The sequence below is a fragment of the Homo sapiens genome, chromosome 5 (assembly GCF_000001405.40).
Source record: "Homo sapiens chromosome 5, GRCh38.p14 Primary Assembly".
Lineage (NCBI taxonomy): Eukaryota > Metazoa > Chordata > Mammalia > Primates > Hominidae > Homo > Homo sapiens.
The window spans coordinates 122,941,080-122,963,861 of record NC_000005.10 but is presented as its reverse complement, the minus strand read 5'-3'; the positions used below and the strand labels follow the sequence as shown (position 1 = coordinate 122,963,861).

General features: G+C 37.6%; 1 protein-coding gene across 10 annotated transcripts in view, besides 1 other annotated feature; it reads right to left on the bottom strand.

The window, feature by feature from the left end:
- Positions 1-22,782, bottom strand: part of SNX24 (sorting nexin 24) — a 183,706-nt gene that overhangs the window by 65,457 nt on the left and 95,467 nt on the right. For all 10 annotated transcript variants that reach the window (NR_146145.2, XR_001742058.2, XM_017009395.2 and 7 more), the window contains one exon: positions 17,703-17,807. Coding sequence is in view for 8 of the 10 variants with exons in the window: in XM_017009395.2 (XP_016864884.1) it covers positions 17,703-17,807 (105 nt within the window). In the remaining 2 variants the exon portion in view is untranslated. The remainder of the gene's footprint in view (positions 1-17,702; positions 17,808-22,782) is intronic.
- Positions 15,422-15,622: a silencer, noted in NCBI's record as "peak5448 fragment used in MPRA reporter construct". NCBI's record gives its function as "represses an SCP1 promoter by STARR-seq MPRAs in K562 erythroleukemia cells {active_cell/tissue: K562}" and the evidence as "EXISTENCE:reporter gene assay evidence [ECO:0000049][PMID:32103011]".

Below are 22,782 nucleotides of genomic sequence, written 5' to 3'. Positions count from 1 at the left end.
GAACAATAACAAAAAAGTTATTAAAATATATTAACCTGCAAGGAGAGAATTTTAATGTCTGTGAAGAAAGAGACTACTTACATTAGAAAGTACATGACTATGAAATAGACTTGTAGTGATCTTCCTTGGATTAAACTGGAGTCATCAAGCTAAAAGTGAAACACACTACAAAAGCTAGTTCTTTTAAAACTCATGATTCCATCACACACAAATCTGATAAAATACTAATCAAAAATATCTAAAGGATGTCTGCCTTCCTAAAATCTTCTCTGAATGGAAGATTGCAGTACTGAAAGAGAGTAGAGCCCACAGCCACCTTAAAAGGACTAATATTCACAGAAATATAATGCCAACTCAGGGATTATGTTTTCATCAGATAAAACCATCTACCTTTTAAGAGAAGTCTGAGTGTGAAGAAAAGGTAATATGTGGTCTTTCTGTCCATATAAATGAAATGACACCACCTGTTTCTAAAAGGGGCTTTGAGCTGGCTTTCTGGAAATTAGCACAGGTCTGTGCAACATCACCCCACATCCCACCAGTCTTCTTTCTAGAAGCAGCATGCAGCTGTGAGCCGCCAAACAGCATGGCCAGCTCTAGAGGAGAATTAATTAATTAATTAATTTTTGAGACAGTGTCTCACTCTGTCACCCAGGCTGGAGTGCAGTGGCACAATCTCGGCTCATTGCAACTTGTGCCTCCCAGGTTCAAGCGATTCTCCTGCCTCAGCCTCCTGAGTAGCTGGGACTACAGGCGTGTACCACCAGGTCTGGCTAATTAATGTATTTTTAGCAGAGACGAGGTTTCACTATGTTGGCCAGGCTGATCTCAAACTCCTGACTTCAAGTGATCCGCCCACCTTGGCCTCCCAAGGTGCTGGGATTACAGGCATGAGCCACCATGCCCAGCCTAGAGGAAAATTTAACCCAAAACATTCACCTTATTAATAGGGGGCTCTAGGTGAGGTCATTGAACTTAATGACTGCTGAAGGTATTTTTAAAAATCAGTATGCACTGTCAAACCAGGTGGTCAATATTGTATAATTCATAGGTTTAAAACTCCCAAAGTTTTATGTTTTAAGCCCAATCAAAGCTCTGGGGCCACAATCCACTAGAGTTAATATTTTTATTCAATTCCCTTCTCTCACACAAATCCCTCTCCATGAAATACCTATTTTTGATATTTCTAATTGCCATTACTGATGCCTCCTCCACTGGCCTATGCCACCTCTGAAGGATCATTACCCATAGCTTGGTAGGCTTGGCTTTCATCAGGCTTGTCTACCCAAGATGTGCAAGAATGCATTATCTGAATTTTTAAAATACTGGTTTATTTCCTAGAAAAGAGAGTGTACTGTTTTCCTTTAAAGAAATAATACGTATAGATGGTTTCAGAAATTTAAAACACTGCTCTGCACTAAAAATTATTTTAAGTGAAGTACATATCATTTAAAGGTGATATGTCATATTTAAAGTATATACCATATTTTGAGATCAATGGAAAGCATGTAAATCACTGGGAAAAATAAAATGTATTTGAAATTAAGTAGTACAATTCTCCATGGTTATAATGCAAGCCTTAAAAATATGAAAAGAAATATCATGCATTGTTCTAAGAAATTATTTGTAGCACTAAAATTATTTTAAATGAAGTACATATCATTTTGAGATAAATGGAAAGCATGTAAATCACTGGGAGAAATAAAATGTATTTGAAATTAAGTAGAACAATTATCCATAGTTATAATGCAGGCCTTAAAAACTATGAAAGGAAATGCCATACGTTGTTCTAAGAAATTATCTGTAGCCTTCATAAAGAGTTTTCAGCTTAGCACAAAAAAAGTCTTATAGAATTACCATAAAATCTACAAATCTATAGGTCACTGTCTACAAAAACTAAATTTACAAAACAAAAGCTTCTAAAGTTTTTTTCATTTTCATATTTTGTGAATACTTTCACCAATTATGATGACAAACTTGTCTGCTAAATCCTAAATAAGTAGTTAGGGTTTTTCTGTATGAAAAACCAACCACTGAAACTAGGTTACAGGATTTCTAACCAGGCACAACAGAAACATGTATGTACAACAGAATCTGAAAACACTTGCTAGCAATGATGGATTTAAGTTATTAACAGATCAAAAAGAGATGGATGGTGGTTTGCTTTTCTTAATCTATATCATCATCTAGATCTATTTAAAGATATGTGGCACACTAACAAACTTGGTTAAGGTTTCGATAAAATCAGTAAAAATAATCTGCCCCCGTTACATTGAGTCTGTATCGATCAATAAAATCACTTGTAGAAGGACGGTACTGTTAAGTACTGACAATCCCAGCCATTAATATTATTTAACACACTGTTCACAATCTTTAACAAGAACAAAGAACAGTTTGTCTCATGTTATAAGCAGGACCTTCATAGAAACTGTATTCTACAGGCTTCTATGGTGATTTTATAAAGTTCAAATTATACATCCCTCTTTTATCAACCCTCACCCCCTCCCAAATACATAGGTCTTGTTCTTTCCTTCAGATGCAGTTTAAAGGAAATCCTTGGTAAGAACCAAGACTGCCATGGCAAATCACTTCTTAATCTAAAACTTCTAAGAACCCTGAGTTGTCAGGGTTAGGGTGGCAATAAGGATAGACAGCATGGGGCTTCCCTGCTGCATTCCAACTTTACTCAGTTTCATCAGTGCCTTAACCTTGTCAGATGTGGATTAAAGGAGAAATTTTCAAAGAATCCTCAGCCAGAGTTGGATGGCTAGAAACAGATATGTTCATGTCTGACCATGTTTGACTTAAGACCACAAAAATGGAAGGTGGAAAAAAAGAAAGATAAACATATTTTGCATAAGAATTTTTTTACTTATATAGACATCCATAATTATATGAATGATGAGAAAACACCATTAAGAAGTAAAACTAACTTAAAAACAATAATAATTCTAAGATAGTAATTAGATACTGTTCTAAACTTAACCATTGTAGTTTTCATGACTCAAAATCCTAGCAGCCTTTTGAGTCTTTTGAAATGTAGTAGTTTGTGAGTCTTTTGAAATGTAGTAGTTTGTGATTTTGATGAGATGAGCAAGAGGGAACCCCTTCTCTGGTAAGTGAACCTGGAAAGCGCTGAAGACCTGAGTCTCAGTTGAGTTTAATCTGTTGCTCTCAGCTGAATTACGGCTTCTCTACAATTCTCATGAAGTGATTTAAACAAATAAGAACTTGGGGGTCTGCACAGGACTTAAAGAAAAGGCTCCCTAAAAGAATATTAACTGCTAGCACTATTTAAAGAAAGGAGAAAAAGGTGAAAATATGTACTTAAAAATGGCTTGTGGCCATAAAATAGAAATTTTAGGAAATTTAATAATAAAATGTCAAATTTATAAATAGTTTACAGTCACAAAAAACAAGTCCATGAGTACACTCTAGTATGGATGAAAATGTGGTTCACAAAATAGTTTAGGGACTAAAAATTTTGTAGTTTAGTGCTACAAACTAGCAGTTTTGTACTAGTATTCCAACTAGTACAACACTGCTTATCAAGTGACAAAGAGCACCAGAGAAAACATCACATGGTGATAAAAGACACTCCCTGCCTGACACTTAATGACCATTTGTCTCAGGAGGCAGATGGGATGTTGTTTAAACATTTTCATGAAGCAATAGTGATAAAGGCAGCAAAACAGCTACTGACTCAACAATTTTCAAAATAAAATACCAGTTTTTACTGCATCATGGGGAAGGAAATCAAGTTACTGCAGAATCTTTTCTTTAGGAAAGTGAAGAAGCTCACAGAAAAGAAAGATAACAGGTGGAAAACACAGCCCGTGTAGGGAGGGGAAGGCAGCCTACTTCGGAGGAAAATGTTTTCTTAAACAACAGGGGTGTTTGAAAAGGGTCAAAGGCAGACACAGAGACTCTATCATTCAGAGATTCTGCTATTCTTTAGTAAACCCCATGTCATTAAGCCTCTATGTAGAGTGAGCTGTTTTCCTTTCTCTTTCTTTTGCCTATCAAAACCTCTGCTCCTAACTCCTCGTGTGTGTCCATGTACTAAATTTTCCTGGCATGAGATAATGAACCCCGAGTATTTACCCCAGACAATGTAGCTGCTTCAGTTCCTTTACAGGTGTGTAACCTAAATTAATGCAATCAGTGTGATCAAAAAAATAAAAAAAAAACCCAAAAACAATGCCTTAAGAAATCTCAGTTGATAGTCTTCCCAAATGACCAGCAAAAGCAAATAAAAATTCTCTCAGTAAATTCAGTTCAATTCTAGCCACAAAAGCTGCATGAAGATAAAGATCCTAGGAAATTAGGCTGGGTATAGTGGCTCACACCTGTAATTCTAGCATTTTGGGAGGCCGAGGTGGGCAGATCGCTTGAGCCCAGGAGTTCTAGACCAGCACTGGCAACATAGCAAGACCTTGTCTTGTCTCTAATATATATATTATGTATTTTTTATTATATATATATAAAATAAAACATTTTGAAACCCCAAAGCTAGCAAAAGGAAGGAAATAAAGATTAGAGTAGAGATAAATGGAATACACGAAAAAAAAAAAAGAAAAATCGTATAACCTAAATGAAATGGACAAATGAGAATTTGCCCATTCTAGAAAGAAACACAAAATATACCAAGACTAAACCATGAAGAACTAGAAAATCTGAACAGGTCTCTAACTAGTAGGATATTTAATCTATAGTCAAAAATCTCCTGACACAGAAAAGCTCTGGACCTGATGGCTTCATTAAATTCTATCAAATATTTAAGGAACTGACACCAATCCTTTTCAAACTTTTCCAAAAAATTTAACAGGAGGAAATACACCCTAACGCATTCTAGGTAGCCAGCATTACCCTGATACCAAAGGCAGACAAAGACACCCCCAAAAAGAAAACTACAGACAAAAATTCCTGACGAGCACTGATGCAAAAGTCTTCAATAAAATACTGGAAATCAAATTCAGCAGCATATTAAAAAGACTATATTGGCCAGGTGGGGTGGCTCATGCCTATAATCCCAGCACTTTAGAAGGCTGAGGCAGGCAGATTGTTTGAGCTCAGGAGTCTGAGACCAGCCTGGGCAACATAGCAAGACCCCGTCTCTACTAAAAATACAAAAAAAATTTAAAAATTAAAAAATAAAAAGACTATAAAGTATGACCAAGTAGGGTTTATTCCTGGAATACAAGGATGGTTCTACATATAAGCATCAATCAATGTAATATACCACACTAACAGAAGAGAAACAAACCACATGATCATCTAATTGATGTGAAAAAAAAACTCTTGGTGGTCAGGCATGGTGGCTCACACGCCTGTAATCCCAGCCCTTTGGGAGGCCAAGGTGGGTGGATCACCTGAGATCAAGAGTTTGAGACCAGCTTGGCCAACATGGTGAAACCCCGTCTCTACTAAAAATACAAAAATTAGCCGGGTGTGATGGCAGGTGCCTGTAATCCCAGCTACTTGGGAGGCTGAGGCAGGAGAATCGCTTGAACCTGGGAGGTGGAGGTTGCAGTGAGCTGAGACCATGCCATTGCATTCCAGCCTGGGCAACAAGAGTGAAACTCTGTCTCAAAAAAAAAAATTTTTTTTTTGCAAAATTCAACACCCTTTCATGACAAAAAAATTCAAGAAAATTGGAATAGACAAAATTACCTCAACATAATAAATGTGATATATTTAAAACCCACAGTAAATATCATAATTAACAGTGAAAGACTGAAAGCTTTTCTTCTACAACCATGAACAAAACTATGATGCCTGTTTTCCCCATTTCTATTCAACATAGTACTCAAAGTTTAAGCCAGAGCAATTAGGCAAGAAAAAGAAATAAAGCTATCCTAATTGGAATGGAAGAAGTAAAATTATCTTTGTTTGCATGTGATATGATCTCACATGTAGAAAATCCTTAAGACTCTACAAAAAAACTGTTATAACTAACAGGCAAATTCAGCAAAGTAGTATGATACAAAATCAATACATAAAAATCAATTACATTTTGATATACTAACAATAAACAATCCAAAAAGGAAATTAAGAAACTATTTCCATTCACAATAGCATCAAAGAGAATAAAATACTTAGGAATTAACTTAACCAAGGAGGTGAAAGACTTATACAATGAAAACTACAAAACATGTCTGAAAGAAATTAAAGAAGACACAAATAAATGTAAAGATATCCCATGTTCATGGATTAGGAGACCTGAAATTGTTAAGATGTCACTATTACCCAAAGTGATCTACAGATTTAAGGCAATCCCTATTAAAATTCCAAAGAAGTTTTTTTATTTTTGCAGAAATATAAAAATCCATTCAAAAAATCATATGAAACTTCAAGGGGCCCTCAAATACCCAAAACAATCTTGAAAAAGAAAAACATAGCTGGAAGACTCGCACTTCCTGATTTCAAAACTTTCTCTAAAGCTATAGTAAATGAAAACAGGTGGTACTGGCATATGATAGACATATAGACCAATGTAATGGCATAAACAGTACAGAAATAAATCCTCATATATATGGTCCAACGGTTTTTTGAGAAGAGTGCCAAGATCATTCAAATGGGTAAAGATAATCTTTTCAACAAATTGTGCTAGGAAAACTGGATGTCCACATGCAAAAGAATGAAACTGGATCCTTACCTAACATCATATGCAAAAATTAACTCAAAATGGATCCAGAGCCTAAATGTAAGACCTAAACTATTAAACTCTTAGAAGACAGCACAAAGAAAAAGCTTTGTGACACTGGATTTGGCAATGATTTCTTGGGTATGACACCAAAGGCATGAAGGCAACAAAAGAAAAAACAGACAAATGGCACTTCATGAAAATTTAAAATTTTCTGCTATCAAAAAAGGCAATATATAAAATGGGAGAATATATTTGCAAATCATATTACATAATAAGGGAAGAATATCCAGAATATATAGAGAACTCTTAAAACTCAACAATGAAAAAAAAACCACCCAATTAAACAATGGCAAAGGACTTGAAGAGATATTTCTCCAAAAAAGACACACAAATGGCCAATAAGCACATGAAAAGATGCTCAACATCAGCGATCATTAGAAAAATGCAAATCAAAACTACAGGGAGATACCACCTCACACCCATCAGTACGACTAATATAAAAAACCCAGGGAACAACAGGTGCTCATGAGGAGGAGGAGACATTGGAACCCTTGCTCACTGTTGGTCGGAAATAAAACGGTACAGCCACTGTAGATAACAGTATGGTGGTTCCTCAAAAAATTAAGAATGGAATTACATGATCAAGCAATCCACTTCTGGGCATACACCTTAAAGAATCAAAAGCAGGATCTCTAAGAGATATTTGTACATCCATGTTCACAGCAGCATTATTCACAAAAACTAAAACATGGAAGCAACTCAGGTGCCCACTGATGTACAGCTAAAAAAAATATGGTGGCTGTGTATGTGTGTGTGTGTGTGTGTGTGTGTGTGTGTGTGTGTGTATATATTTTTTTTTTCCCAAGTGTTTTAAAGGTTTTATTTTTACAAATTACAGCAGATGGACAACTAAGCCTTCCCTGCAGAGACTGTGTTCCAAATCAGGCCTGGGACACTGTTCACTGCTCCCAGGAAGCGGCTGGCACCACATATAATAGAACGTCTGTGGCATTCTATTATAGCTGCAGAAAATAAACTAAGATACACAGTGATGAATTTTATCTTTCTTGGATTTTTGTTTTGCCTTATATATCGCAGACTTGGAGCTGAAAAGGTGGCAACCAGGAAATGCCCAGAGATAGAGAAAAAAAAAAGCTGCATCCAAAGCCTGTTCTGTCCAGCCATAGAACACAGAGAGGGGCAGCCTAGCAAGACGGAAAATTTGCAGACACTAACCATTCTACTCCAGCCAAACACCATGGAAGAAACTGTGGCCCTCACCTCTACTCATGGCAGCAGAGGCATAGTGGGAAGCCTAGACTTCCACCCTTATAAGGCTGTAATGAGGTGTCGATGAGAGGGTGGTAACAGAGACAGCCTCGTAAGGGACCAGGGCTTTCACCACTTGGTAATGTGCCCCCTCTTATGGTGTCAGCGGAAACCATGTGAGGAGCTTAGATTTCCAGGGCCAATGGCAGTAACGAGGTACTCCTCCCTTTCTCTTCTATGGTGGCATCAGATGAAATCTAGCAAAGAACTTTCTACATCTTAATGGTAATGAGGAGCAAGCCTTACCCTCCAGGTATCAACGAGGGCCAAGTGAGGAGCCTAATCTTCTACCTTAACCTGGGAAAAACAAGGTAATGTCTTCCACATCCCATCTTCCCCTGATGGAGCTGTTAGAGAAAGTCAGCTAAAATAGAAGGTATAAATAAGAGCCAGAGTCTCATAATTATAAAAATGTATAAGATTCAATCAGAATTATCCATTGTACCAAGAACCAGGAAGATCTCAAAGTGAATGAAAAAGCTAATCAATAGATTCCAACATTAGGATGACAGAGATGTAAAGATTATTGGACAATGATTTTAAAGCAGCCACAATAAAAACTTTTCAGTGAGTAATTATAAATACATTTGAAACAAAACAAAAGAGACTCAATGAAGACATATATAAAATCTCAGGAAGGAAATAAAAGATATAAAGAAGAACAAATGGGAATTTTACAACTAAAAAATATAATAACTGATACAAAAACCTTAAGTTAAGGGTTCAACAGTGGAATGCAAGGAATCAAGGAAAGAATCAGGAAACTGGGAGATAGAACAATAGAATTTACCCACCCTGACCATGGAGAAAAAAAAAAATAGGCTGAGAAAAATGAATAAGGTCTCAGGTCCCTGTGGGTCTATAATAAAAAATTTAGTATTCCTGTTATCAGAGGCCTGGAATAAGAGGAGAAAGAAGAAGGAGCTGAAAGTGTACTCAGTGAAATAATGGCTAAAACTTTTGAATCAGATAAGAGACATTAATCTACAGATTCAAGAAACCAGGATAATTCAAAAGGGGAAAAACTTAAATACACACCAAGACACATCAAAATTAAACTTCTGAAAACTAAAGACAAGAATAAAATATTGAAAACAGCCTTTTTAAAATAACACCTTAAATATAGGGGAAAAACAATATGACTGATTTTTTTTTAAAAATCAGAAACCACGAAGACAAGAAAGAAGTGTCACAATATTTTGCAAGTGCTGAAAGACAAGAACTGTCAACCCAGATTCCTATATCTAGCGTAAACAGAGTTAAAATATTGTAAGGCCCTTGTAATGTTCAAGAGGAAAGTAAAGATAACAGGTAACTATTAAAAAAACAAATATAAACAAATGGGGGAACAATAGAAAGAAAAAAAACAGTATTGGTCACCAATCCAAAAGCAGACAAAAAAAAAATCATAGAAAAAGATGGAGTGATAGCACCGATGGCTGAACTAACCCCAATTATATCAATAATGATAAGAAATTTAAGTGGGAAATTTTAACACATCTTTGTTCTTATAGATTGAGTGGCCAAGTTAAAATACAAGACATTTAAACAGAATGCTTTCATGTACTTCATAAATATATACACCTACTATGTACCCACAAAAATTAAAAATATAAACATTAATAAACAGAATACTTAACACTGATCTGATTATATGTATTTTATATATAAAACTATATATATATAGAGAGAGAGAAAGTTCACTGCATTTGAGAATTTAAGAATACACATTTTCAAGCACATATGGTCAATTTTAGTAACTGTTTCATGTACAACTGGAAAAGTCAAAGATACAATACTCTTTGACCCACTGTGGACTACTGACCCAACGGTACATATCATACTGTATAATTTAAAGAATGAATGAAGGGCAGGCTAGTCAAGTAATAGGGTCTTGTGAAGACAGTAACTCAGGGGCATCTACTATTATTTAACAAGCCAGCCTCACTCTAGCTTCGGAAGTGTTCTCTACAAATAAACTGTTTAAAAAAGGATTTGTATTATTAGCTTAGATTATCCTTAGTCTTGATTTCTGTGAGCTATTTCTCTTTAGCTCTTAATACTAACTATACATTTAATTACTGTTTACAAAAAGAAAAAAATATAAACAAGAACTATTATTCTCAAGTGATATAAGATGTACCTTTCTCAGAAAGATAAATTCCACGTTATTGTAATAAATGGAACAAGTAACGTATGCACAACTCCATGAAAAACCTTTGTCTAAATATTACGCCAGTTTACAAGTTAATGTTTCTACTGAAGAATGGAGGGATGTACCCACTAAACAACCCTCAAATGAAGAAGTGAAGCCATGACTGAAGCTCAACCTTGCCCATCGTTTGTTTTTTTTTTTCTGGAAGATTATGGATCTTGTCTCAAATGTACTGAAATATCACTGGCTATGTCTAGGCATTACAAGGATTCTGTCATTCTTTGTTCTTTATCCTCGGAGCACCTTTCCTATTTAAATGCTGATGGCTAGGCAAAGTAGCTCATGCCTGTAATCCTAGCACTCTGGGAGGCCAAGACGGGAGGATCATTTGAGGTCAGGAGTTTGAGACCAGCCTGGCCAACATGGCGAAACCCTGTTTCTATTAAAAATACAAAAATTAGCAGGGCATGGTGGCAGGTGCCTGTAATCCCAGCCACTTGGGAGGCTGAGGCAGGAGAATCACTTGAACCCATGAGGTGGAGGTTACAGTGAGCTGAGATTGTGCCACTGCACTCCAGCCTGGGTGACAGAGCAAGACTCTGTTTCCAAAAAAAAAAAGAAAGGAAAGGAAAGGAAAGGGAAGGAAAAAAGGAAGAAAGGAAGAAAGAAAGAAAGAAATCGCTTATATTGTGTAACCTGAGGAAGTTTTCAACTATTTTTCCTTCTATTATTCCCTTTCCTACTTGTGTATTGTACCTCCCATCCCCTTTCCTTCTGGGACTCCAGAAAGAAGTAGGATGTTAGACCTGGATTGGTCCTCTATGTCTTTTGTTTGACGTTTCTGTATCTGTGCTTTATGGAACAGTTTTCCAACTAGAGAGAGCATCTACTGAATGTTTTCAGTTGGATAACACACTTAATTCTAAGAACTCTCATGTGTTCTTGGATTGTTCCTTTTACACAGCATCCTATTGTAATCTTAAGGATGTAATACCACTCTGAAGCTCTCTGGATTTATTACATCAATTTTTGAGATATATTTTATGTCCCAAATTATCTCTTTCCTGAAGAGTCAGTATTTTAGTTCATCTTGGTCTTTTTGTTCATGCTACTTGTTTTCTTCAAATGCCTGATTATCATCAGATCACACTGAAGAAAGTAGCCCGGGTGGCTTGGGTAGGTTTCCTTTGCTAGTATGTCAGCAGCAGTGCTTGCACAGGCCCCTTGCCTGAGTGCAAACCGTATGAGTGGAGCGCGCAGTCAGGTGGGCTTTTCCCTGGGGTGAGTGCGAAGGGGGTTGTTAACTTGGGGGCCCTACTATCCACATTAGAAGACTTAGCTCTTCCCAGCCATTCTGTTTACTTTTTTGTTGTTGTATTGTTGTTTTTAAAAGAAAATTCTTTTTTTAAAAAATTCATCTGGTCACAAACATCAGGCTGCACGTATTCTGCATAGAATGAGTAGCCTAGGCATGTGTTCCATGCAGACATTGCTTGGATAGCCCTTATTTGAAATGCTTGGGACCACAAGTGTTTTGGATTTCAGATGTGTTCGATTATAGAATGTGTGCATATACATAATGAGATATCTTGGGAATGGGACACAAGTCTTCATATGAAATTCTTTATGTTTCTTATATATCATATACACATAGCTTGAAGGTAGTTTTAGTCAATATTTTAAATAATTTTGTGCATGAAACAGTTTATATTAAGTTCTTATGTAGAGAATTTTCCTCTTGTGGCGTCATGCCAGCACTCAAGGTTTCAAATTTCGGGGCATTCCGGATGAGGAACACTCAACCTGTGCCCTGAATGGATCTACTTGTTTTCAGCTTCCCTGCGCACCCCATGCTCTGCCTTACCCGCAGACTCTGAGCCTAGAAGCTCTCCAGCACTGCCTGCACAGGCTGCCTCCCGCCTCCACAACAGACCCACAGGACTGAGTTCGGACTGCTGCTTTTTGTGCTCTATCCACTCACATGCTCCCACCACATCCTATCTTCCCGAAGGTTGTTAACATTGTTCTTCCTTTGATGATCTTCTCTTTTCCTTGCCCATCTACTACTTAACTGTTGGAGTTTATTCATTCTTAAGTTTCTGTACTTTCATTTCAGTGGAGTCTCAGGGAAGACAGGAAGTCATCTCAAATCAGGAGGCAAAACTATCATATAAACTGTGTTTGATGGTCAAATCAATTTGGGAAACTGAAATTATTCTTAAGATTTCTGCTTTTCAGAAACTGGTAAACACTATGAGATGCTAAATTCCTTAATGGTCTAGCTCATAACTTCATTGGTAATTAAAATTTTTAGATGTAAAAGTAATTGTGTTAATGAGCAAATATTATTTTATATTTTTAAAATAAAAATAAAGGTAAGAAATATTTCTGGTCTTTAAGTCAAAAGTCAAGGAGATTTATGACTTTAAATTTTCTTTTCTTTTTCTTTTTTTTTTTTTTTTGAGACAGAGTCTCACTCTGTCGCCCAGGCTGGAGTGCAGTGGCGCAATCTCAGCTCACTGCAACTTCCATCTCCCGGGTTCACGCCATTCTCCTGCCTCAGCCTCCTGAGTAGCTGGGACTACAGGTGCCCGCCACCACGCCTGGCTAATTTTTTGTATTTTTAGTAGAGATGGGGTTTCACCGTGTTAGCCAGGATGGTCTTGAACTCCTGACCTCGTGATCCGCCCGCCTCGGCCTCCCAAAGTGCTGGGATTACAGGCGTGAGCCACCAAGCCCGGCCTGACTTTAAATTTTCTAGAAGCTTTATCTATCTAGGAAAGAGCCTTGAATTCCAGTCTCAGGAAAGTCCCCACTTTTTCATAACCCTGGGCAATTTACTCAAAATTTCTAAGCATTATCATTTTCTCTGATGGTAATTTGCTGGTTGCCCTCCACGCCCCAACCCACAGTGAGAATATTCCCTTTTCTTTTACCAAGAATACCCTGGTTATTCATTAGGGAAATCACCCCTTCTCCCTCATCTTCAGGAGCAGGCTTTGATTCACTTAACTCAGTGGGATGGTTGGCCGTGGTGAGGTTCAGAAGTGGGCATGCACACAAATATAAGCCAATGAGATCAGGAAAAACATCTGCAGGACTCCTAGTGAAAGACACTGCTTCTTTCTTCTGTGAAATCTTACTGAAAGAAAACCTTCTTTTCCTCTGTACTAGGCTATGTGCTAAGAGTAGGTGAGGTCTGGAACTGTTGCAGCCCTTTTGTACCACTATGGGGGCCAGATGAAGCCTGCACCATGGAAGCAGAGAGGAGCGACAGAGAAAATAACTACAGTAGCTTAATTTGGGCTATGGTTCAAGGTATCTCTGAAGCTAGATCTACCCTTCTGCCTCAAACATCATAGGTGCTTGATGAGTGCTTATCATTAAGCAAAACTATACAAACACACACACATACAACCTTTATTGGTAAATTAATATCAAATATTAACTTGCTTTTATCTTCAAGTTAAAACATCCTCCAAAGTAGATGAATTTCTAGTTTATATAATTTGGAAAAATAAAAGTTTAACAGAAAACTCTTTATTTGGCATAGACCTTTTACTGAGATGAAAACCAACTGATTTTCTTCCACTCATATAGAAAGGTACTGTTATACTTAATTCTACTTTTACAGGAGATCGATTTCCTCATTCATTAAACCTCAGGGAGTTTTCCTGGAGTATATTATTTAAGGGGAAAGAGGTAAGAAAACATAATAATAGTTAATTGATTTCTTATTCAATAAACAGAAAATGATTCTAGGAAATAAAATTAAGGTTCACTGTTCATCAGGTAGACTGCCATACTTCAAATTACTCAAATGCCAAATATAACTTCTGATGTCTCCCTGATTAATTATAGATTTTGATTCTAAGATACTATACGTACTTGGATATTCAGCTAGGGTTTTTCGTTTTTGTTTTAGAATTTGTTTCTAATCAAATCATTTGAAAATTTAAGTAGGAAAATAATAATGGTTCAGAAATGTACTTAAAAAATTAAAACTCACTTATGTAACCTTCATACTATTGTTTTTAATCTCCAGGCAAGTAACACTAAATAGACTTTGCTGTAATTGCTCAACTGTTAGACTCTGCAAATATGATCATATGGAAATCTCTAGAACGGCAGAAGTTTTTCAAGGTAAATTCACTGATTAGAACCTATCCATAAATTATTTACACTGTGGCAATTCATTAATTTGAATAATGTGCTTGCTTTTTTCCCCTTAAGATCTGAAATTTCTATTTGAAAATAAAGTGGTTTTTTCAAATACAATGTAAAATATTTTTAAGAAACCTACACTCAAAAATATACACTAGGAAAATTTCCTAATTTAGTTATTTTAAACTAAAATTACTTAAATTGAATAGAGATGCTAAAACATAAAAGAAAATATGTATTTATAAATTGTATCTTGAAGACTAATATGATATGTTTATTTTCAAGTTGAAGAAAGCCAAATAAATGCTAACTGTAGGCTTTTTTGCCTCTCATTTTCATTAGTTTTATTTCTTTCATTAATTTCATTTATTGGTGACCAGCAAAGGAATAAAAAACAGTTTTAAAAGTACAGATGCCAAAACAGGTTGGGTTTCCTTTGTTTAAAATCTCAGATAGAACAAAATTAATTTTGAAAATAGGTAATTTGACCTTTCTTGTTTTTAAGTTAGCCTCTTACTTAAATACAGCACAGAAAATGAAAGCATATGCATAGTTTTTGCTATTCAAGTTATTGATTTAAAAAATCATCTATCTACTTATCCAGGGAGTTGGGGGATGATAGTCAATTAGGCAGTAATAGTTTATGATTATCAGGTCTTTTCCTTTATCTGTTAGAGCCTTATGTAAAGCTATATGTCAAAGTTGAAAAATTTCTCCTGACTTAGAAAAATCCACAACACATGAAGAAAGGAGCCCATACTGGATGTTAGGAAACTAAAATTCCATTCCCAACTCTTTAACTAATATATTGCAGGAATGGGGGCAAGATTTTTAATTCCACTGGACCTCAGTTTGTCCATCTCTAAAATAAAAGAGCAGTGTGTGACCACCTTAGGAAATGTGTGGGGTTGTACTCACCCATGGTCCAGAATGTACTAGTTGCCCCTTGGATGGCAGGAAGAGTTGTTTTCTCTGACCCCCTCAAGAGCTGATCTGCCTGTTTATGCGTGGGAAATTGAGGCCAGAGGGATGATTGTGAAATAGCTGAAGGACCGGACTATGTAATGTCTAAGTTCCTTGTGAACTTAAGATGCTATGGCTTGGAGGTATTACCACTTTCTTAGGTTCATGGGCCAGATCAGGACCATACTACTGGCCCTTACCAAGACAGGTTAGTGGCAGGATGATACCTGCTGAGAAAGTGCTGGTGGCATCCACTCCCTGGGTTTCAGACTGGTCCTGAGCATGAATGGATTCTAGCTGGTGTAATGTAAGCAAGCAGAAGAAACAGTAATGCTGTCTTACTTCTAAGGAGACTTGAAATGATCAAGAAATGACACCTAGGCTAGGATTTGCATTTCATTTAAGATTAAGTGTTCAGGCTTATCTTTGCAACTTCCATCTACCTCCCATTGCCTGCAAATAGAATCAAGCGGAAAAGAAAACTAACTCCCTTAAACTCCTGGGGGAATTAAGTGACAACAAATTGACTATTAAATGCACAACAGGAAGCAAGCCATCTGAGCCCTTCGACCACATCTTTCAAGCCTTATTTCTGAGAATAGAAAATTCTAAGCTCAATTTGAGTGTCACTATAAACTCCTCTCTGTGCCAGATGATTTTATGCACATATTTATATCCGAAGTACAAACAACTTAAAATGTTTACACTGAGTAGTAATGGAAATCATGTGTCAAATACAATGAGGGGAACAGAGTAGAGCTTTCTTCAGAACTAAAGCTTGAAGATATACAATATCATGGAAAATCTGGCTTACAAATAAGAATGCATTGTTTACCTATTCCATTTAATTATAGAGAACATGCATTTTTACTCTTTGCATACAATTTCTGAAGTCTAATTTTTTGGAGGGGTTTGTTTTTTGCTCTGCAGTGTTGCCTGAAGCTATGGAAGGATCATAGCTCCTCAGTCTCAAAAACCATGGCCACACACATTCTTGTGATTTGTAATAATCCCCATTTCCTTTAAGCTCTCACCCCCAGAGAGAGACAGTGAAGGATTCTTCTACCAAGTTCAAAAGCAAAAGAGCAAAAACAGTAAAGAGAGCCTGCCTCAGATGTCTTCAGGGGCCTTCTGCATGTCAGCTTTCCTATTAGAGCACTGTAAAGACCAGGAAAACTACAAGGGCCAGGAACGGAATTCTGGCATCTTTCTACTGAGAGATAGTCCTCTGAATTTCTCACTAAGTACAAGCCTGAGGAGTCAGCCTCCCCTCATCTTCTCATCACTAGTGGTTCAGGGACAGCCATTCATAGAGCTCTGTAGAAGAAATGGCATACTAGCTCCACAGTCCTCAGTTTCCCTCCTCAACAGAATCCACCCTAGGGTTAATGCTTAAAGGGCCATGAAGATATCAAAGGGAGGACACAGTCATGGCTGCTGATTTGTTTGATGTAACGTGTCTTAGATGGGTCAATCATTAATTCATAGCTCTTAGGTGGGAGTCCAGCTCTTTTGTTTTAAGAGCCAAGATTCCCCTGCCCCCAGCCATGTTCACTCCATCATTCTCATGTGTCGCTTCTCCAGTGGTGCCAGGGAGGGACCATACTACTGGCCCTTACCAAGATGGGTTAGTGGCAGGATGGCACCTGCCACCTTACCAAGATGGGTTAGTGGCAGAATGGTACTGGCTGACCTCAGGGCCTGCCCACCCCAGCTCCTGCCCTGCACAGTGTTCTTTGGACTTAATGATGACTACACTGAGTACTCGCCTGGGGCCACTAGTTCTTTTTGTTTTAAAACTCAGAGAAGCTGATACTGCTCTACCTTCTCCTTTTGCTTCTTCTGTCACTTGGTAAAGAGACGGTCTTTGTCCTATTCTCACTTAGGCAGCTCTGCTTGCTCCTCTCAGCTGCAGAAAAGAGTGTCCCAGTGCATTCTTTCTAAATTGACATTCGAATTTTCAAAGAGGTTGGCACTTCATCATCGGCAATTTTTATACATTCCTTTTCAATTTGATTCCAAAGATACACTAGCCAGGCCCGCTGTGAGTTCAGTTTCTCTCACTACCCCAACCAGCCCCGCAAAACTCAAAACGTGAAGGCTGGGATTGCTATAAAGAAGCAAAAAAAAATCTTGAAGGAAAAGCAAAAAGCAAAAAACAAAATAATTTGTAGAGTTGAATTAAAAAACAGATCCTCTCCTCAACAGTTTTCACCTTTTTATTGAAATTTCACTTCCCCAATACATAGAACCAATTTTAAATAGAACCCTAATTAAAGTTACAAGAACCAACCAACAACATATCTGTAATTTTGGACTTCCTTTAATTTAGAATCTTTGGCTGCTTAACATATTTTACATTGCACTCACATGTCCTGAGAAAAAGTGGTAAGACATATGATTATTTATGTTATATAAAATGAGGATCTAAACATATCTTACCTGTAAGTATGTTTCCAAGCCTTGTCGTCGCTGTTCCAAGACTTTGGGGACCCAGTTCCTAACATGTTTAGAAGGGATTTCTGGAGTTTTTATACATTTCTTAAGCTATAAAGACAGAATAGGAAAAGAAAAAGAAAAAAAAAAACAGAGATGTCTGTTAATTATAGTGATATTATTTGGGGAAAAAAGGCCAATAAAAGAAAGTGAACTACTGCTATCTGCAATAAAAAATAGAGGAAAATATAATTACACTGCAATTTTGTCAAACAATTCTTTATTTAGGTATCTTGACTGTTCAGTTTTCAGAATAATGGTTTTCTGTTTTGGTAGGTATTATTGTTGATATTTCAGATTGAAATCCTTTTTCCTGAAAAATTAAAAGCCTAATAAATGAATAAAAATGAAAGTAAAGAAATTTAGTTACAAAAATCAATTAATACAACAAAATTTTACTTGGATGAAGGACTTTGCTGATAAGAAGTCTTTCTACATGTTTTTCATATAAAGAAATCAAAACAAAATGCAACTGTATATAAGTATTGTCCCTAGAAATGCCATTAACTAGACCACATCATTTGGAGAGAGAACTTAAAAACATAAAGGCCTAATCTTTTCAATGTTCCTAACAATTACTTTCCAACTCCATTCATGAAAACTGAATGATAGTTCTCAGCTAAGCCTTTTGGGACAGCAGTTTTAGGGGATAATATAAATAAACAAAAATTCTGTTGGAAGTTGCATTAGAGCTGTCTGTGGTAGGCAGAATAATCCTCCTTTCTCAAAAATAACCAAATCCTAATCCTGTGGATGTTACCTTATATGCCAAAAGGGACTTTGAAGATTTGGTTAAATTCATGGTCTTAAAATGGGAAGATTCTCCTGGATTATTGGGGTGGGCTCAATGTAATCACAAGGATCCTTATAAAAGGGAGGCAGCAGAATGAGTTGGAAAGAGACTAGGAGAAACAATGTCTCTGACTCTGACGATGGAGAAAGAGGCCACGAGCCAAGGTGACCTCTAGAAGCTGGAAAGAATGGTTTCTGCCCTAGATCCTCTAGAGCAAACGTCATCCTGCTGACACCTTGATTTTAGCCCAGTGAAACCCACTTTGGACTCCTCACATCAGGAAGTGTAAGACAATAAATTTATATTGTTTTAAGCCACTACATTTATGGTAATTTGTTATAGCAGCAATAGGAAACTAATGCACTGCCTCTTTAAGTGCAATGTGCTTAATTGCTAATTAAAAACTTGAAAAAAACCTACCAACGTTACTCCTTTACTACACATGCACAGAAACAGCATAGTAATGAATAAGAAAATTCATACAATTAAACCTGGGCAGCTAAACTATAGTAAAAAATTCTTTCCATATGTAAGAGTATATTCACCCTTAACCATTCTAGGCTGAAATTTGTTGTACATCACGAAGAAGGGGCCCATGTACTGGCTAGAGCAGAGCGGCCACCTTTGCCTCTGAGGTAGAAGTCTCGCACTGAGAATGGTAAAGCAGCAAGAGCCTGGGTCCCTGATGATCATGAAACTGCCACACCAGCACCAGACATTTTATGAAGGGAGGGTCCAAGTTGTATCTGTTAATGTCACCATTATTTTGGTTTTAGAGTCACTTACAGCCAAATCTAATCCCACATGAATAAGGGATGTGGCTAGCACTGCTAGCTGCTTAGCCAATATTCATTTCCTCCTTCTTTTTTTGGGGGAAAAAAAAAATCAATGTCATTCAGAGGGCTAAGATGCTGAGCTATAAACTGGTTTTCCAGGTTCCCTTTTAATTAGGGTGACCAGGTGACAGAGTTACCAATATGTGTACATGTCTACTGGGGTAGGGCTCTTGCTTTCCTAACAAAAAGCAACAGGCTCTTCTTGCCAGAAAATGCAGAAGCCATGCCTGGAAGAATAGGAGCTATGTTGTCACCAGAAGTGTGAAAGTCACATGCTAAGATGAGGACATTAAAGCAGGGAGACACAAGGAGCCTGGAACATGAATGTTGTGAGATGCGTGCATCACCTGGACTGCCTGTTTTTAGTTTTCCTGTAATGTGAGAATAAAAAATATCTTAAGAAATCTAATCAAGTTTCTACTACATGCAATCAAAGACATTCCTAATATAAAGGAATCACTTGTTCTATTTTAAGTCAGAGATGCTCAACAGGCATCCAAGTAGACATGCTGGGTAGGTAGTTGGGTACAAGTCTGTAAATGTGGGAGTCAGAATATATAGGTAATTAGAGCTGTGGAAATAGAGGAGATGACATTAGGAGTTAGGTACAGATAGAGAAAAAGGGCTGTGGGGGACAGAATCCTAAAATGGTCCCCTGGTGTAAATGCCTTGTATGATCCCCTCCTCTTGAGCATGAGTGGGACCTGTGACTATGTCAGGACAGTCACTCCATGATTACATTGTGTATTGTATGATGGTCCTAGCAGACTGCTGGCTTTCAAGTAAGGTGTCATGTGATGAGAGAGCCACATGGCTAGGACCTGAGGGTGGTCTTTAGGAGCTGAGGGCTGCCTCTGGTGTTCAGCCAGCAAGAAAAAAAAGGGACCTCAGTTCTGCAACTGCAAGCCACTGAATTCTGCCTGAATGAGCTTGGAAGAGGGCCCCGAGCCTCACGTGAGATGGAACAGCAGGGAGGAGAAGCAGGGCAATCACTGGGGGAAGAGGGGGAGTAGCTTCCATCAGGAAAGTGTTTCAAGAGGACAGGCATGATCAGGCTGTGCCAGATGATGGGAAGTCAGTAACGTGGGGTACAGAGAGAAGGGCAGTGGGGAAGTAGCAGCTCCTCTTCTAAGGCGTTCTACTAAAAGAGAAGGAAGGAGTACAACGGGATGAGCACAGGAGGGAAGCATGGGGCTGAAGGCAGGCTTTATTATGTGAAACAGAAACTACTGCGATAGGTTCATATAGTGATGAGACTGATTCAGTATTGAGGGGGAAACTGATAATGCAAGGGAGAGAGAAGGAGGGGAATTTAGAATTGCTTGCAGGGGAATAAATACATATTTAATCTCTATACTGTCCGAGGCAGTTCTCCATAATAACAAGGCCAAAATGCTAAATTATTCTGTGGTAATAAGCTTAAGTTTCACTTTAAACATAAAGAAACTTCCTTTTGAACTATTGAATCACAACATATATTTCAGAATAGAAAATCAACTCTATTATATGTCTCTCCTTTTAAAAAAAATTTAGAAGATCTAGCAACTGAAAATATTTTTCCTTTTTTATTTATGTCAGGAGTACTGAGGAAGCGTATGATCATAGCTGCTGGGATCCATGACAGCATTTGTAGGTGAGTAATGAATTGCTTTAGATGAGAGACAAACCCGAGACAATATGTTTCCAGTAGGGCTCAGCTGCTTACAAGATAAATACTCCTCTGTCACTTCATCCGATGATTAACGGTCCTGGCCCTGCTGTGTCCAGGCAAACTGCCTGTCTGATCCACGCAGATAAGTACCAGATTCCACGATACCACAAACACAATCTCCTTTTCCTGGTGTGACCACTCCCTTTTCCTTTTTTATACTGCTAGAAGAATTTACACAGAACTTATTCCACACAGACCTATCACTGCATACATTGGTTATAGTAACCATTTTCCACAAAGAAGCAGAAATACTTTTCCCAAGTACATGAATAAAAAGAATGAAAAAGAAAAGAAAAGTTAAAGAAGCGGGAAACACTTGGGGATAAAATCCCATCTTTCCCCCTGTATTGCCACCGCTACTTCCTCAGGGTTCCCTTTGAAGAGAATGTACAGGGTGCTGTGCTACTGGTTTGACCCCACATGGCAGGTTTTTGGTTCTTATTGTCTACTTCATGGAATTAAACACAGGAAAATGAAGTCTTTTATTCAAGCCAAAGGTAGTCAATAATAAAAAATGAAGACAGTTAATTTAAAAATGAACCAGCACCATATTTCACTGAAACCTTTGTGAATAAAAGGATGGGCTGTGACTAACAGAAAGCAGCTGGGAAGGCATGAAAATAAAATGTGCTTAGCAGTTTGCCACACTGAAAAGACTTTTCTGCCCATACATGCAATTTTTGGCCTAGGGAGGTAAAGCTCTTTTCAGGAACCACCATTTAAAATAGTAAAGTATTTGGCCATAGTGGGGTGTGGACAGGTGTAGCCAAGGCACACAGGAAAGCACTCATAAGCCTGAAGGCTCACCCTGTCACAGGAGCCTGTGCCTGGGCCATAACAAGGCTAGCATGGGGTTTTGTTTTCGTTTTGGTGCGGTCATGGTGTTCTTCCCACCTAGTACTAGCAGAGGAGCTACAAAGGTATCAGGGCAAGCAGAACCTGGGGTTAACAGAGAATGCAAACTCCCACAGTAGAAACTGATCCTCTAGTAATTCATAAATATGCATGTTCTCCAAATATACCATTTGCCAAATACTTATTTAATACCTAATATGTGCCCAAGACTCTACTAGACACTCTAACAGTGTGAAAGATATGAAAGACAGGACATGGTCCCTACTTTTAAAAAAGTACCTTCTAATTAGATAAAATTTAGGGATAACAGTTTTATCTCATATGTTTCCAAAATTTAAGCAGAAATCTGTATTCTAAATGGACAGGAGTTCTAAGAACAAAGAGATTAGGGAAGAAAGGGAGCTAACATGGAAAAAGGAGAACTTGCAATGTCTTGGTTTGAATAGATCAGAACACACAGGAAAAGACATTCGACATGGCAAAGATAGGTGGGTAGCCATTTTTACCTCATATAATGAGGTAATGGGAGATATTGGCTCAGCTGTCACTGAAGAGCTCTTAGGAGGAGTGAAAAATAAAGTCGGCCAGTAAAGGTGTTAGTAGTAGACAGAATAATGGTTCCCTCAAAGATGCCCAAGTCCTAATCCCCAGAATCTGTGAATGTATTCGCTTACATGGGAAAGGGGGCTTTGCAGATGTGATTAAATTAAGGATTCTGAAAAGGGGGGTTATCCTGGATTATCTGTGTGGGCTCAGTGTTATCATGAGAGGGAAGGACAAGGAAAAGGGGATTGAGTTTATGGTGTCATAGCATCTGGTACTTATCTGCAT